General features: G+C 57.6%; 1 protein-coding gene across 1 annotated transcript in view, besides 5 other annotated features; it reads left to right on the top strand.

Annotated features, from left to right (window-relative positions):
• Positions 1–14,324, top strand: part of PPP1R9B (protein phosphatase 1 regulatory subunit 9B) — a 16,941-nt gene extending 2,617 nt beyond the window's left edge. The window contains exons 2-10 of the mRNA NM_032595.5: positions 2,816–2,948; positions 4,343–4,463; positions 6,688–6,792; positions 7,833–7,968; positions 8,480–8,632; positions 8,745–8,798; positions 11,864–12,093; positions 12,412–12,508; positions 12,677–14,324. Coding sequence (NP_115984.3) covers positions 2,816–2,948; positions 4,343–4,463; positions 6,688–6,792; positions 7,833–7,968; positions 8,480–8,632; positions 8,745–8,798; positions 11,864–12,093; positions 12,412–12,508; positions 12,677–12,730 — 1,083 coding nt within the window. The 3' untranslated portion in view covers positions 12,731–14,324. The remainder of the gene's footprint in view (positions 1–2,815; positions 2,949–4,342; positions 4,464–6,687; positions 6,793–7,832; positions 7,969–8,479; positions 8,633–8,744; positions 8,799–11,863; positions 12,094–12,411; positions 12,509–12,676) is intronic.
• Positions 435–1,103: an enhancer, noted in NCBI's record as "H3K4me1 hESC enhancer chr17:48224323-48224991 (GRCh37/hg19 assembly coordinates)". NCBI's record gives its function as "activates a minimal SCP1, AML or CMV promoter by ChIP-STARR-seq in primed H9 embryonic stem cells {active_cell/tissue: H9 hESC(primed)}" and the evidence as "EXISTENCE:reporter gene assay evidence [ECO:0000049][PMID:30033119]".
• Positions 1,104–1,774: an enhancer, noted in NCBI's record as "H3K4me1 hESC enhancer chr17:48223652-48224322 (GRCh37/hg19 assembly coordinates)". NCBI's record gives its function as "activates a minimal SCP1, AML or CMV promoter by ChIP-STARR-seq in primed H9 embryonic stem cells {active_cell/tissue: H9 hESC(primed)}" and the evidence as "EXISTENCE:reporter gene assay evidence [ECO:0000049][PMID:30033119]".
• Positions 14,167–14,908: an enhancer, noted in NCBI's record as "H3K27ac-H3K4me1 hESC enhancer chr17:48210517-48211258 (GRCh37/hg19 assembly coordinates)". NCBI's record gives its function as "activates a minimal SCP1, AML or CMV promoter by ChIP-STARR-seq in primed H9 embryonic stem cells {active_cell/tissue: H9 hESC(primed)}" and the evidence as "EXISTENCE:reporter gene assay evidence [ECO:0000049][PMID:30033119]".
• Positions 14,909–15,651: an enhancer, noted in NCBI's record as "H3K27ac-H3K4me1 hESC enhancer chr17:48209774-48210516 (GRCh37/hg19 assembly coordinates)". NCBI's record gives its function as "activates a minimal SCP1, AML or CMV promoter by ChIP-STARR-seq in primed H9 embryonic stem cells {active_cell/tissue: H9 hESC(primed)}" and the evidence as "EXISTENCE:reporter gene assay evidence [ECO:0000049][PMID:30033119]".
• Positions 14,959–15,028: an enhancer, noted in NCBI's record as "active region_12378". NCBI's record gives its function as "activates an Ori minimal core promoter by ATAC-STARR-seq in GM12878 lymphoblastoid cells {active_cell/tissue: GM12878}" and the evidence as "EXISTENCE:reporter gene assay evidence [ECO:0000049][PMID:35858748]".

The following is a 15,651-nucleotide window of genomic DNA, read 5'->3' as shown; positions in this document are numbered from 1 at the left end:
CCGCCCCAGGCTCAGCTGCACCCGGCCCCAGGTCCGCCCCATGGAAGTGTCCAGGTCCCTGGACTCTCCTTGGCCTGGACCCTGCCCTGCCTTTACCCTTCCCTAGCCAAAGCACCATCTGTTTGCTTGTCGTTTCCATAACTACTCCTGGACTCTGAAGCTTCCCAACTTTCCTCTCACTCGCCCAGAATGTCAGCCTCTGCCCCTCTCCCACCTCCCACCCCAGCAAGAGGCCTGAAAGGTTAAAAGTGAGTGGCTCTCAGGCCAGCCTCTCCCCTGGGCTGGGACCTGCGGGGTCCTCTCCCAACCCCTTTCCCCTCCTGAAGGCAGTGGGGTTCTGAAGGGAATGGGGGACTGTAGTGTTTCTTGGGACTCTGAAGCAGAGTTTGGATCCCCCCACCCCACCCCCACTAATTTTGCGAGAAGTCCGATTCCCTCAGAGTTGGAGTTTGGTCTGGGCCTCTGACTGTCTATATTTGACGCCTTACCCTGATTTTTCAGTAAAAAATAGCACATGATTTGGAGCAGTGCTTCCCGGCTCCCTGGTGACTTTGGAGCTGGCCCGCCCTGTGTGAGAGCCAGCGTGTGTGGCGGGCCCAGTGTGGCTGGCTTTCAGCCTCACTGGGGATTTCCTCCTCCCCACCCTGGCACAGGGGCCCCACTTTTTCTTCTTCCTGCCCCTGCCTTGATGCCAAGTCCAGGGTCCCGGTCCCCATGGATGACCCAATTGTTGCCCTTCTGGAGGTGGAGGCCTCTGCTGAGGGCAGAGAACCCAATTCCAGCTTGGCCTCAGGGAGGTGGGACCTCCCCTAGGGCCCTCTGCTAGACCGGCATATCATGGTGGGCAGCCCGAGGAGGGGTAGGAGGTGGTCTGGGGCCTCTGAGCCCAGGCCTGGGATTCCTGCAGGCGGCAGGACCAGAAAGGGAACAGGATTTGATAGGCTGAGAGAAGAGGGCAGGGTGCAGCCCAGGACAGGCTGTGAGGTGTGTTTTGGAGGTCACAGCGGGCGTGTGTGTCCATGTGTGTCAGGGAGGGGTTTCGTTGACTCAGGAGACTGTAGAGACTCAATGATGAAGGGACCGTGTCTCCTAGAGCAGAGGGTGAGAGTCAGGGGACTCCAGTGCAAAGTGGGCCAAATCCCACTGCTGAGTCCAGGCTCACATCAGCCCTGTCCCAGAGCCTGGGGCATGTGTGCAGTGGAAACCAAGTCACCGGTGACCCACCCACCTGTCCCAGCTGGGTGCAGTCTCATTCTGCCTGGCCACAGTTTAACCCATGTGACCTTGGGCAGTGGGCCTGGTGCCCTGGACTATGTGCAAGGTAGGCAGCCTGTTTGTTCGAGGGGTGCAATGGACAGATGAGCTTTAAGGGCTGGAGCCAGAGTTTCTCTGATGCTGTGAAATTGAGGGCATTGAGCTAAGTGACCAGAGGGGTCCCTCCCACCTAAGCCTTCTAGTCCTATGAGCACCCCCTCCCTCTCCCACTGTGGCAGTGAGCCTCTCTGGTAGGGGGTGGGGACGACACGGAGCAAACCCAGACAAAGGCTGGGACACGAGAGTGCTGCTGCCCACCAGGGTGCCCACAAGGTCTGCTCCTGGAGGAGACGGGCCCTGACAAGGGCCCTTGGGGGAGATGGGGTCCTAGTCTGACTCCTCGGGGCTCAGACTCAGCCAACTGATAGAGCTGTTCCCCATCCCTCCCCGCCCCCGCCTGGCTCCAAGTGGTGCCAACCTGTCACTGCAGGCGATGAAGCTTGAGCATGTCATGGTACCCCAAATGGTGCTCATTAACCTCCCACTGGGGGCACCCCTGCCTGGGCCCAGAATTAGACATTCCCACAGAGCCCAGCCCCACCTTCTCTGTCCTTCTGAGGGAGTCAGAGCTGAGGAATTCCTCTTTTTGCTGAGAGACATTGGAGAGAGACAACAGAGGGGTACAGGAGATGCCAAGGCAGGGGTGGCCTCGGAGCCCCATGGCGCCTGGGTTCGCTGTGGGCAGTGTCAGAGGCTGTCCCCTCCTCAGTCTCCTGGGCCCCCTAGCACATGGACAGGGGGCGTAACTTAGAGAGCTGCAGTTGTGGAGGGAGAGCGGCCTGGGTGTGCAGGGAAGGCCAGGCCCAGCTTTTTCCCCTGCTTCTGCCACCCGAGGGGCTCCTGGGGATGGAGGGCCTGCCTCTTCTCCACGGGGATAGAGATGGTCTTTCCTGCTTCCCTCCCCTGCTCCAACATCCACTTGAGCGGCAAGTCAGAGCCAGTCCTGGGTACCTCTCCCCTTCCACCCCTCCTGCTCCCCTCCTCCTCTTCTGTCTCACACCCGCTCCCCCCTCTCTCCCCATCTGGCATTCTCCAGCATCTTCTCCATCCTCTCTCCCCTCCTCCTCTTCCCCTCTTCTGCTCAGCCTGTTCCTTCCTCTCTGTGTCTGTCTTTGTGTCCCCTCTCGCCTGTCTGGCTCTCTGGGTCCTATCTCTCACTTTCCCTCTATCTGGGTGTCTGGGTTCCTGAGTTGGACGTTTCTCCAGGATTCCCCTTCTGTGCCTATGGCAGACCATGCTCACGCTGGTTGGAGCTACAGAGAGAATAGCAGTGCGGGTCTGCCAAGGCTGGGTCCCTTTCTGTCTTGACCCTGGGCTCCAGAACTATAAGGGCCTTTGTTTTGCTCAGAGCTGGGGTCTCAGGGGACTGGGTGAGGCCTCATCTCAGGGCTATCATGGGGAGGCATGGGGTGGGTAACTCAGCCTGCCTCCTCGGCCTCCTCATGCCAGTTCTGCACTTGTCCTCCTGCCGGCCTCTCTGACCAGCTGCCTCCCTCCCCAGGTGTTCAGCACTTACTCCAACGAGGATTACGATCGTCGCAACGAGGATGTGGATCCCATGGCAGCCTCTGCTGAGTACGAGCTGGAGAAGCGTGTGGAGAGGTTGGAGCTGTTCCCTGTGGAGCTGGAGAAGGGTGAGAGGCCAGGAGGCCACGTCACTTGCGCACAGCTGGGGTTGACCCGGGTCTCATCTCTGGCACCAGCTCCTGCCCTGTGCCCTCAGGGGCTCCCACAGACTTGCTGGGCCTCTCCCTCTGACTCAGGCCCTTGGTGACCTTCCCCGCTCCTCCCTTGTCAGCACCCAGAGCAAACAGGGCCTCCAACCCAGGCCAAGCCACACCCCCACCACCCCGGTCATGGAACCACATTTGCACATTCAGTTAACAGGTCTCTGTAGGGTACTGTGTGCTAGGTCCTGGGCTCTGTGTTGGGGACACAGTGGTGGGCTCCTGGGGAGATGGATGGGGGAGGCAGACATGGAAGGCACAGTCACATCTAATCTCACCCTTAGGCGCTGGAATAGGGGCTGGGGAAGGTAAGGAGGGGCCACTGTAAAAGCGTTTAACAGGTGACCTAACCAGACTGTGCTTGGGGGCATTCTCCAGGGAAGTGAAGCTTGAGTTGCACTCTGGTGAGGAGGAATTAGGGGAGTAGTCAGGAAAGGGGCTTGGCTGCATTTGCATAGGGAGGGCAAGAAGAGCATGCAAATGAGGCCTTGCAGACCACGTGGTCTTGTTGCTAAGATGGATTGGGAGCCATTTCGAAGCACAGGAAAGGTCTAGAAAGACCACACCAGGCTGTGATGTAGGGAGGGGGTCACAAGTGGATGGAGAAAGGCCACTGTGGCGTGGACAGGAAGATGGCAGAGCGGGTGTGGGTGGACTGGAAAGATCTCCAGGGGTAGAATCCATAGCATCTGGGGGTCATTTGGCTCAGGTGGAGGCTGTGAGTGGGAGGGAGGAATCCAGGTGCCTCCCAGGTCTGGCAGGTGGCAGGTGGTGGTACCATCCCCCATGAGGGAGTGTTTGTGGGGGAAGGTCATTAGTTGGGACATCAGAGGGCCATGAGTCAGGCAGGGGCAGGTGTGGATAGGGGAATGGACCTCAGGGGAGAGAAAATCTGGAGGTCTTTGGTCCTTGAAGCTATGAGTACAGATGAGACTGGCTGAGAGGGAGAAGACCAAAGGCTTAGGGCTGAGTCCCATCCTGGCTACCCCCATCCTGGCTACCCCCATCCTGGCCACACGCCCTGGTCTGCATATGCAACAGTCTTACCTGCCTGTGCCACCCTTGGCACGCTCTTCTGCCCATTGGTTCTTTGGAAGGGACAAAGGGCAGGGAGCGGCTCAGGAGCCATCCTAGTAGACTTGGCAAAGACGGTGGACAGAACTATATCCCTTCTTCAGTTGTGGGACATCCCCTAATGGGGACTGCTTCCTGATGGGGGGGCTGTGCCCTGGAATTCGGGGTGGAGAGTCTCTCGTCTGTCCCCTACAAGCCCTGCCATCTCACCACTCTCTGTTCCACAGACTCCGAGGGCCTGGGCATCAGCATCATCGGCATGGGCGCCGGGGCAGACATGGGCCTGGAGAAGCTGGGTATCTTCGTCAAGACCGTGACGGAGGGTGGTGCGGCCCATCGGGATGGCAGGTACCAATCCTCCCCAGTCTCGCCTGACCCTTTTTCCCTCTCCGACCGGCCATCCTTGGTGGGGTGGGCCACTGAGCAGGGGGTGGGGCGGGCCTTCCCTGGGAGATTTCCGTGCTGTGTGTGCAGCTGAGATGTTCGGGGAGCACTGCCATGCCAGGTGCTGTTCCAGGCCCCAGAAATACAACAGTGAGCACTGTCAGCCCCTATGCCCTGAAGGAGCGTGTGTTCTCCAGGAGGGGCTGGTGACCATGGGGGCTATAGGCGTGTGTTGTGCATCCCGGTCTGGAGTACAGTTTGGGCCCTGGTAGGGAGAAGACAGGCATGGAGTATATTTGAGCTTTTTTTTCGCTGGACATTGAGTCTCTGACAGTGTTGGGCCGGTGCTGGGCCCTGGGAAGTCAATGGTGAGGGCCTGGCGCACTTGAGAAGTGTGCAGTGTGGTGTGAGGTAGACATTGAATAAATGGACACACAAAAGGTAGTGAAATGGAGGGAAATGCAGACTGCTGTGAAGGCATACAACAGGAGGGTTTAATCTCTCTGGGCATTAGGGAAGGCTTCCTGGAGGAAGCAGTGCTGGAGCTGAGAGCTAAGGCTGGAGCAGGAGTTAGCTGTGCTGAGGGAGTGAGTGCAGAGGTTCCAGGCAGTGGCGCCATGAGCAGGCAGGTGTGGCTGGGGCATAGAGAGCAGGGGCCAGGAGGCTGTGACTAGACCCATTGATGGCAGTGGCTCTGGAGACAGGCTGTCTTTGCGCATGTGAGTGTGTGTGCCTGTATTGAGCATCTGTGGTTGCAAGGGGTGAGTTCTGTGGGACAGAAGGTTCAGGGAGGGCATCCTGGAGCTGTGTGCCAGCCAGGGACCCCTGTGTTAGCTGTGTATTCCAGGGGTGTGGGGAGTGGCAGTAGGAAGGGCTGTAGGGCATCCCCCAGGGTGGCTGTAAGTTAGAGGTGACATTGGGGATCTCTTGTGGTGGTACCTCCAAACCCAGACCCCCTCCATGTGACAGAGGTGAGCAGGTGTCCTTTGGGATCTGGGTGACTTTGGGATCTTGTTTCTAGAGATGGGGCTGCCCTGTCAAGGGGCTTCTACCTGTTGTGGCCCAGGTGGCATGGAGAGGGGCCGGGAACAGGATACCCTTTCATTTACCCCTTCCCCTCCCAATGTGAACTTCCAGAGCCTTTCCCATTGTTGCCTGTGGGTTGTCTAAGGAGTGAGTGTGCATGGTGGCCGTGGCCACTCACTCATGCCCACCTGGGAGTGGCATGTGTTGGGGTGAGCTGTTGACAATAGGCCATTTCCTCCATTTCCGTGTGGGAGTCCTGAGAGAAGGCCTGGAGCTCCCAGGGAGGTGGAGTGGAGGAGGGAGGTGTCTGAGAGGCCCCCCACCCTCCATCTCCCTCAGCAGGCCAGACTGAACCTCCCCTTGTATGGAGAACACGGGCTTCAGGGGACACAACTGGAGTGTGTCGGCAGGTGCACCTGTATCAGGTGTGTGTGGGACAGTGTGTGAACTCGAGAGAGTGCCATTCGGTCTTGGGGACTTGGGAGGACATCTGTGCACTCAGTTCTGTGCAGAAATGTACACGTAAGAGGGTGGCATGTCACTTGTGTGCTGTGGGGCTCCTGGCCAGTGTGCATGGCAGAGATGAACTCTGAGAATGTCACACCGCTCAGTCAAGTATGATGAAGGAGGGGACAAGAGTGTGATTGTCACAGGAAGTGTGCCTGCCGCGTCTCCTGGTCCTGGACGCCTGTGTCTGCTTTGCTTGCCTGGCTCTCACTGCCCACACAGGTGGGCCTGGCTGACACTTAATCCTCTGGCCTTGTGAATGTTACGCAGGTAGACAAAGTACCAGGTCCCTGTGAGGACAAAGTATCTGTGAGGTTTTTTGTTGTTGTTTTCTTTTCTTGTTTTTTTTTGTTTTTTTTTTTTTTTGAGGCAGGGTCTTACTCTGTTGCCCAGGCTGGAGTGCAGTGGCGCAAACACAGCTCACTGCAGCCTTGACCTCCCTGGCTCAAGTGATCCTCCCACTTCATCCTCCCAAGTAACTGGGACTACAGGCACGTGCCACCATGCCCAGCTAATTTTTCTTTTTATTGTTTGTAGAGATGAGTTCTCACTATGTACTCAGGCTGGGGAGCCTGGAGTTTCTGATGGGAGGAGGCTACCTCTACCCTCGCTCCTCGGTTCCCCTGTGACCCCTTAACCAATGTCACTCCGCTAGGATCCAGGTGAATGATCTCCTGGTGGAGGTGGATGGAACAAGTCTGGTGGGAGTGACCCAGAGCTTCGCGGCGTCTGTGCTCCGGAACACCAAGGGCCGAGTGCGGTGAGAGCCCAGAGGGGTGGGGCGTGGGAGCGGGCAGGAGGTCCTCGTCCAGGCACTCCGTTCACCTGCCTTAACAGCCAGTTAAGGTTCTGGTGGCCCAGCTCACAGAGGTTCTGCTGACTCCTTGGCTGCAGGAGTTGCTGTGCCTGGAGTCCCTCGCCTCACACCTGCCTTCTCATCCCAGCTCCCTGGCAACAGCTGGCCACCAGTACTCAGCCTTCCTGGCCCACTGTCCACCAGCCCTCCAAACTGTCCTCTAGGGCTTCTTCTCCTTCCCCCTACCTGTCCCTGACTCACTGACTGAAGAACCAGGACGTCCAGGGTGAATGCTAACCATATTGGGGTCCCCTCATTGGGACCTCATGCCCCCCACCCCGACCAGCCCTATGTCATCCTGGGAAGACTCCGCCCCAGGCCTGTAACCAAGGGGACTGGATCAGAAGCTCCCTGTGTCCACTCTACCTTTGGCTTAACATTCAGGGATCACTCCCTGCCCCCCTGCAAGAGGGGTACTACCCCCAGGAAAGGGTGGTGGAGAGAAACAGGATGTGGGTGGCCACCGGGAGGAGGGGCTGGTGCCTGGAAGTTCCACTATTTCCTCTCCATCCTAATCTCCAGTTGCCATCATCCCGCCCCTTCCTGAAGCTCAGGGGCTTGGAGCATACCCAAGAAACACCTCCGCAGCCCATCCCTGCTGGGAGGGTCATCTTCACCTTTCCCTGCCTCATTTTCTCCCCTGTGGCAGGGGAAGAGCCTCCTCAGTGCATGTCCCCTGCAGCACAGCCTAGAGGTGGGCTGACATTCTCCCTCCCGCAATACTGGCCAGAGGGGTGAATGGGCCTTCCTGCCTCCCTTGGGAAGGAAACCTGATAAGGGCCCTCATTCCCCCATTCATTATTAACACTGCAGCCTTCGGACTCAGCCCTCTCATCTCTCCTCCCCTGGGAGGGCCTGAGTTTGGAGAGGGGAGCATCAGCAGGGAGGATGATGCATTACCTGGCTGAGGACAGAGGCAGCGGATGATGCCGGTGCCCCTGCAGGTTTATGATTGGCCGGGAGCGGCCGGGAGAGCAGAGCGAAGTGGCCCAGCTAATTCAGCAGACTTTGGAACAGGAGCGATGGCAGCGGGAGATGATGGAGCAGAGATACGCCCAGTATGGGGAGGATGACGAGGAGGTAGGGAGTCCCTGCCTGGCTGGCCGCGTGGTCGCCCCCTGGTGGCTAGATGAAGCATTACAGTCATCTGCCTCTACTGCTTCCCCTGCCCTAGTAAAAAGCCCACAGTGCCATTCCCTGTCCTCCAGTCACACTCTTTGTCTTCAGAGGCCGGACAAGGAATACACAGTCCTCTCAAAGAGCCCCCAGTCTGCGGGGAGAGCATAGCCCCTAATCTTGGGGGACCTAATCTGAAAGGGAGATAGATCCAGAAGGGGAAAGATAGTACAGGCTGTTTCTTCAGAGACCCAGGCTGATGAGGAACTGACCCCCTCTGTCATCAGGGGACTACCAGGCTGTTGGGGGAAGACATAAACCGTGTCTCTGGTCCAGCCTCAGGCTGAAGTGGGAGGCATGAACCACATTCCTGGGTAGCTCTCTGTCTGGCATGGGCAACTGGTCCCAGCCCTGGTCATCAGGGCTGAGGGCAGCTGGGTGGGGTGGGCCCACAGTCTCCGGTCTCCCTTCGCAGACGGGAGAGTATGCCACTGACGAGGATGAGGAGCTGAGCCCCACGTTCCCGGGTGGTGAGATGGCCATCGAGGTGTTTGAGCTAGCGGAGAACGAGGATGCACTGTCCCCTGTGGACATGGAGCCCGAGAAGCTGGTGCACAAGTTCAAGGAGGTGGGAGGAGGGGCTCCCTGGAGTGGTGGAGGGAAAGGCAGGCAGGTCTCCTGCCCTTGGCACTGCCTGCCCCACCCTGCTGGAGCTGAGTGCCTGCCCCTCTGCCCAACAGCTCCAGATCAAGCATGCGGTCACTGAGGCAGAGATCCAGCAGCTGAAAAGAAAGGTAAGGGTGCGTATGTGTGTGCTTTTGCGTGCGTGCATGTGTGTGTTGAGGAGCAGGGTCCCCCTACCCTCACACCTGCACATGCTGACACTTAGGCACAGGTACCCACAGAACAAGCTGCTCTAAAGCAAGATGATATGATAGATACGATATTAAGAGCTTAAGCTCTGGATCCATCTGCTCCAGCATCACTTGCTTCTCTGTGCCTCAGCCTCCTCATCTATAAAATGAGGTCGTAATAGCACCAACACCACAGGATCGTTGTGGGATTAAATGAGATAACACACGTCAAGTCTTTAGCACAATGTGTGACATAATAGGAGCTCAATAAAAAGTCAAAGTAGGCTGAGCGCAGTGGCTCATGCCTGTAATCTCAGCACTTTGGGAGGCCAAGGCAGACTGCTTCAGCCAGGAGTTAGAGACCAGCCTGGGCAACATGGCGAAAACCTATCTCTACAAACAATACAAAAATTAGCCAGGTGTGGTAGCGCACACCAGTGATCCCAGCTACTTGGGTGGCTGAGGTGGGACGATCATTTGGGCCAGGGTAGGTCGAGGCTGCAGTGAGCCGTGATTGTGCCACTGCACTCCACTCCAGCCTGAGTAACAGAATGAGACCATGTGTCAAAAGAAAAAAAAGTCAGTATATTAGCTGTGATACCGAAGCATGCTAAGTTCTGCTCTAGGTGTCTCTATGTTTGTGCTGTCCCACATATGTCTGCTATATATAGGCCCATTGATAAGTACAGACCACCCAGAAGTACACACACTGACACAGCAGCCTGGCCCCAGGCACATAGTACCCACAGACCCCCTCACCCAGACACATAGAGACACCCACTCTACACAGACACAGTCACAGAGACAATGGACCTGTGCTTCACATTACACTCGAGGCTATCAGCCTGGATATGCAGACCCACTCTGCACCCATCTGCTCTGAAACACACAGGCATGGCCATCGATCAGACCACCTGGTCTAGGAAGAGTGTCACAGGGCATGCATATTCTCATCTGGGCAAGTAACACAGAGGTGCTGATGCCGACCCCAGATGGAGACACGTGGCACACACACACACACACACACACACACACACACACACACACACGTAGTATACACAGATGCTTACACAAGCATGTCAGGTGCCAGCACCCTCACAGGCATGCAGATATACAGACTTCATATTAAAAGTCTGTATGGGGCCTCTGCTGGGACCTAGACTATAGGAGTCCCAGTACCTATGGGGCTTCTGCCGTGGTGGGGAGAGACAGATCTATAGGGGTCTTGCAGACATGGGAGTGTGTGTACCCTCCCACATGGGGGTATGCAGGAGAGGAGGCCAGGGTTTGGATGGCTGGGGCAGAAGCAGGGGCATTCCTGGCAGGGAGAGGAGCTCCATGGAGCTTGGAGTCTGGCTTTGAGGGGAGGCCAGTCAGGAGGTGGCAGCATGCCTGTCGGGGAGAGGTGGAGGCAGGGCTGGACTGCCAGGATGGGCTCTGGCTTGCAGTATCCTGCCTCCCCTCTAAAGACTCTGGCCTTGGTCCTACAGATAGCATGGGGTATGTGGCCATTGGGATTTTTCGGAAAGCCACTGCCTACAAAGTGGGAGGGCATGAAAGTGGGCAGTGCTGGGAGGCAGGCAAACTGGTTAGGGGCCCAGACAGTGTCCTGGCAGGGGTAGGCCAGGACTGCTCAGAGTATAGGCAGAGGGTCTGGAAAGGAAGGGTAGGTGAGCGCTGCATTTCCGGGGTCAGAGTGACAGGCCATGTTCCTGAGGTGTATGCAGAGTATGAAAGGGAGGGGCACGCCAAAGGTCTGTTAGTGCATTCTACTTACAGACATCCTCTGGGTACCTTCTAGATGTCCAGTATTGTTCTCATCACCATGATGGGCAAAGCCATAGTTGATCGTTGTTCTTGTGCATCTGCAAACCAGTGACTGTGTCATCATCACACGCTGGCATGGGGCTCTGTAGGAGAGAACAGGCTTACTGAGCTGCTAAAGCAGGAGGAACCTGATTCGGGTGGAGGTGGGAGTAGGGCTGTGCTGTTGGAGGGAGCTGTGGGGGCTTTTTTGGAGAAGTGACACACAGCAGAGAGCTGAAGGGTGAGCTAGAGGGAAATAACTAGGCAAGCAGGAGGGTAGATGGGGGACATTCCAGGCAGAGGGGACAGCACACGTAAAGGCCCTGTGGCAAGTCTGAGGATCTGCAGGAAGGCCTGTGTGGCTGGGGGACAGAGAGCAAGGGATGTTTGCAGCAAATACTGGCCTGAGACTGAGTGCCAACATGGCTATGAGGTTGTGGCGCCTTTTAACAGAGCAAGTCAGGAAAGGAGGCATAGGTTTGTGCAGCTGCGGGGGCCTGGTCTGGGGCATGGTACCTGGGAGGAGCTGGGAGCTAAAGCTGGGAGTTGGGAGCAAGGGTGGGCTGGGACTTGAGATTTGCAGCTCAGAGTGCACAGAGGTAGTGTGGGAGATGGGCCGGTGCCCCAGGGCAGTGAGTATAGAGAGAACAGAGGATCCGGAACTGAGCTGTGGGGGACTGGAGGTCTGCGCTGGGGTCACCTGGAAGCTGGGAGAGAACCAGGATTGTTCAGGAAGCCACAAGTGCAGAGACTGGCGAGCAGGGCTGGGGCTGCAGAGAGGGGACAGAGAGTAATGGTGACCCTCATCTGCCCTTTTACTTCACATGTACTGTCTCACTGGAGCTTTTGTGAGATTGGGAGGCACATATCACTGCCATTTTACAGATGGGATAACTGAGGCTTGGGACATTAGTTGCATTGCGCCAAGTCAGAGTATCAGTGACTAACCGAAGCCTCCAGCCTCCCTGCGAGTGGGGTGCAGTGACAGGGAGTCTGGTGGGAGCTCTGAGGCTGAGCTCTACTTCTTTCCTCTCTGGGTTTCAGTTCTCAGGCTCAGCCAAAGAGGGTTAGTAGTTGGGGTGCAATGGACTCCACAACGGTAGGAATCCCCTGGCGACTCTGGCCCCAGTGCTAGGATGGGGGTACCCTTTGGCTCCTGCTGGCCCCCACCAACCCAGGGCCGTGCCTTTCTCTCTCAGCTGCAGAGCCTGGAGCAGGAGAAGGGGCGCTGGCGGGTGGAGAAGGCGCAGTTGGAGCAGAGTGTGGAGGAGAACAAGGAGCGCATGGAGAAACTGGAAGGCTACTGGGGTGAGGCCCAGAGCCTGTGCCAGGCTGTGGACGAGCACCTGCGGGAGACTCAGGCGCAGTACCAGGCCCTGGAGCGCAAGTACAGCAAGGCCAAGCGCCTCATCAAGGACTACCAGCAGAAGTACGTGGCTGGGGGCTGGGCGGGCTGGGCCCAGGGAGCATTGAGAGGCTTTTGGGGACAGTCCCTCCCCATCCCTCCAGCTGAGTAGGGAGGCACAGAAGTTGGAGGGCCCCATGGTGGGGACACCCGGTCCGGAATGACCAGGCATCAGAGCCAGCACAGAGCCAGACCCCCAGAGGCTTTGGGAAAACCTGGGGCCTCCTGACCTGAGAACAGGGAAGGACAGAGTTGCCCAGGTAAAGCTGAGGACCTGGGTCACCCTGGATGAAAGCCAGACCACACACCCTTACCTGCCATCTGTCCCTTGCCTGTGCCCAGGGAGATCGAGTTCCTGAAAAAGGAGACTGCACAGCGTCGGGTTCTGGAGGAGTCGGAGCTGGCCAGAAAGGAGGAGATGGACAAGCTCCTGGACAAGGTGGGCCTGGGGCGCCCTGTGGGCAGGGCCCAGTGGAGGGAGCAGCATTGAAGCCCCTACCCTGTGGGTCCTGGAGGGAGGGGATGCCATGTCCTCACCGGGGGGCGGAAGGGGCTGGGATCATGCCTGGTGTCCAGACCTGACCCCCTACCCTCCTTTGTTTTCCAGATCTCAGAACTGGAAGGAAACTTGCAAACACTGAGGAATTCCAATTCTACTTAACAGGAATCATTCCATGACTGGACAATAATTAACCCCCCTCCCATTGTCCTCCCTCCCCTGTCCTCAACACCCCACCCCTCCCCCTTCCAGCCTGGGGACAGGTGCCCCGACTCCCCCCACCCCTCCACCCCACCTCCCCCAGCTTCAGGGACCAGAGGGCTCATATCACAGGCCCCCTTAAGATGGCCTGGGCAGACAGAGGTGGCTAGAAGGGCAGCCTCTTTCTTGCCCCATGGGGCTGAGGCACAGAGGCCGAGGGCTGCCGAGGGCTGGCCTGGTGGTCGACGGACACAAGCACCTGCAGATCAAACTGCCAGACTTTACACACTCCAGCTTTTGTCTCTGGACTGGAACGGGGCTGGGGCTCTCCCAGCATCTGCCAACTGGGGGCTGCTCCCTGCCCATGGGGCACCTGGGTGGCCCCTGGGCCTCTTGACTTGAGATTCTACCTTCTCGGCCCTTCCCTCTCCCCCCATCATTGTGCCGTCTCTGTTGCATTCTGACCCTCCCGCCTGGGGGGTGGGGGCGTTGCCTCAACACCTCCCCCATCCCTGTTCCCTGTCCTGGGAGGGATAGAGTCCACCCCAGAGCCCGGAGGCTGGGCCTGGCCCTGGCCCTGCACTGATTTCTCATGTGTCCTTCGGGAAAAGGGGGAGTGAGAGTGGGAAAAAGGGAGAGTTCAGGACACCTGGTCCCCAGCTCCCCATTGCCTGGGGCAGCAGCCCTCAATTTCTCCTTGTGCCTCCCCTCTTCCAGGTGCCAAATAGCCATAACCTCGTCTTGGAACTGTTATGTGGCCTCTCTGGGGTCCAGGTTTCCTGGTCAAGCCTGGGAATGCCAGGGAGGAAAGGGGGTCTGGCTACAGCGACCCTGGTCTTAGGCAAGGGGAACATTTCTCCCTGGAGAGTCAGGTCCTATCCTGTGCTGCCCTGTCTGCCCAGCCCAGGGCGATGCCTGGAAGCCTACTGACATTGCAGGGAGTCAGCCTCGCCCCCACCCCCTACTGGTTTTCCAATGTTTTGACTGGAGGGCAAAATTTTACTACTACTCATCTTTTTGGAGACCAGGGCTGCCCTGCTGGCAGCCTGCCTTCTAAGTGAAATCGACTCTGTTTCCCCACTTTAACCCCAAATTGGGGCTTGGACCAAGGGAGGTGAGACCACCTCCCCCAGGTCCCCTCCCCTTTCAAAATCCATCTCATTTTGCCACTTCATGCCCCTGCCCTAACTGGGTTTTTGTTCATTTTTTAAAAACAGACCACCCATCCCATCCGTTTTGGCTTCTTGTCCCCTGTAAATAGACCATGACTTCGATCAGTATTTCTTGTCCCCACCCCTTCCTATCCCCAGATGTGCCCCCATCCCCTGAAGGAGCTGGCTGTCTCAGTCCTGGGCTCGCGCACTTCACCCCGGCAGATGGAGGGGGCGGAACCGGGTGGGCGGGGCCGCTTCGGGCTGCTTGGGCCAGCGGCCACCCCTGCCCAGCCGTCGGGAGGGCCGCATCTCTGTATATAATATATATATGTATGTATTGTTCCCGGTTTTGTACGGACCATGCCCTCTGTCAGGTCGTCCCCATAAAAGCAGCCCCCAGAGCCTTGCTGCCTGGTTTCTTGATTCACTGAGGTGGGGAGTGGGCAGGGATCAAGGATGCCAGGCTGCCCCAGTGGTCCCCTCCCACCAGTGCTGCCTCTAACCCTGAGGAACTTCCTACAGTGTCCCCCCGTTTCCGGTTCCAGCAAACTGCTTTTCTGCCCCCATTCCAGCCATCAGCACCCATGCTTTTTGTCCAGTCCTCCTGGGCAGGGCTGAGGGTTTCTAGAGAGTTTGTTTAGTCTGCATTCGTTTTTCAGGGCCTCTAAGAAGTTCAAAGGATGGGCTAAATACAGCAAGGTGAACCCCAAGTCCCTCCCCCAGAAGGCCTTTAAACTGTGGGGACACTCTCAAGAGGCACCCGGTGTGAGGCAGGTAAAGGATCAAAGGATTGCTGGGGGTGGGAGGTGACTGCCTGGCAGTTTAGTACCCAGGGTCCTAGAGGATCTGTTTGCCCTTTGGGGCGGGCCAAGTGGCCTGAAATAGCCCCAGCCCCTGTGCTGGGCCAGCAGGCCTGTGTGCTGACTCACCAGCTCAAATGCTAATGGGTCTGGGAGTCTAGGTGCCAGAGTTCCAGGGACAAGCTTTGGTGAAGTCCCAGAGGGGTGAGAGCCAGCAGGGAATGGGGCAGGAGCTTATGGCAGGCCCCAGGGCCAGCCTTTCCTTGCCGGGGTGCTGGTGTGCAGATGTCAGAGACCTGAAGCATGGAGGCACTTGCACTCAGTGGTGTGGCACTAGGGAATTCTCACCTTTGCCATAAGGAATGAAGTCCCAACTTCAGAGCCCTTCAAGGTCACCTTGGTGGGTCCTTAACAACATCCAGATGAGTGGCAGCACCCCCAGGGACAGTCTGCTCCAGAAGCTTCCCTTGTAGATGGCTGTGTCACACAGGTCACATTCATGCTAAGCCAAATTCTGGCTTCCCATAGCTATCCCTCAAAAACCCTAGGTCTACACCTCAGGCCAGTCCAATCCTGCCTCCCACCTGAGGGTTGCCTGGAAACCTGGGGATAGTGAATACTCTTCCCAAGGCATCTTTGCTATGTGGACGATTGTTGGAACACTCTGGGAGCCCTAAGGATGCTGAAGACGGATCAAGGTGTCTGATCCCCAAGATCAGAGACCACCAAACCACAGGGTCAGAGGTCATGGCTCCAGAGTTAGAAGTCACTGAACCCCAGGGCCACCAAGGCCCTGCTCAGGAAACCTAGCCAAGAAGTGAAGTGGCATGACCTTCCTGTAATCTGTAGTCTTAATCTGGGTGGGGAGGCAGGCATGAAGGTTTCGAGGGTTTCTGCTGGGCCGATGGGGGCTAAGCATCCAGGGCGG

This window comes from Homo sapiens, chromosome 17, assembly GCF_000001405.40.
Source record: "Homo sapiens chromosome 17, GRCh38.p14 Primary Assembly".
Classification (NCBI taxonomy): Eukaryota; Metazoa; Chordata; class Mammalia; order Primates; family Hominidae; genus Homo; species Homo sapiens.
Note: the sequence above shows the minus strand (reverse complement) of the source record. Positions and strands in the feature narration are given on the sequence as shown.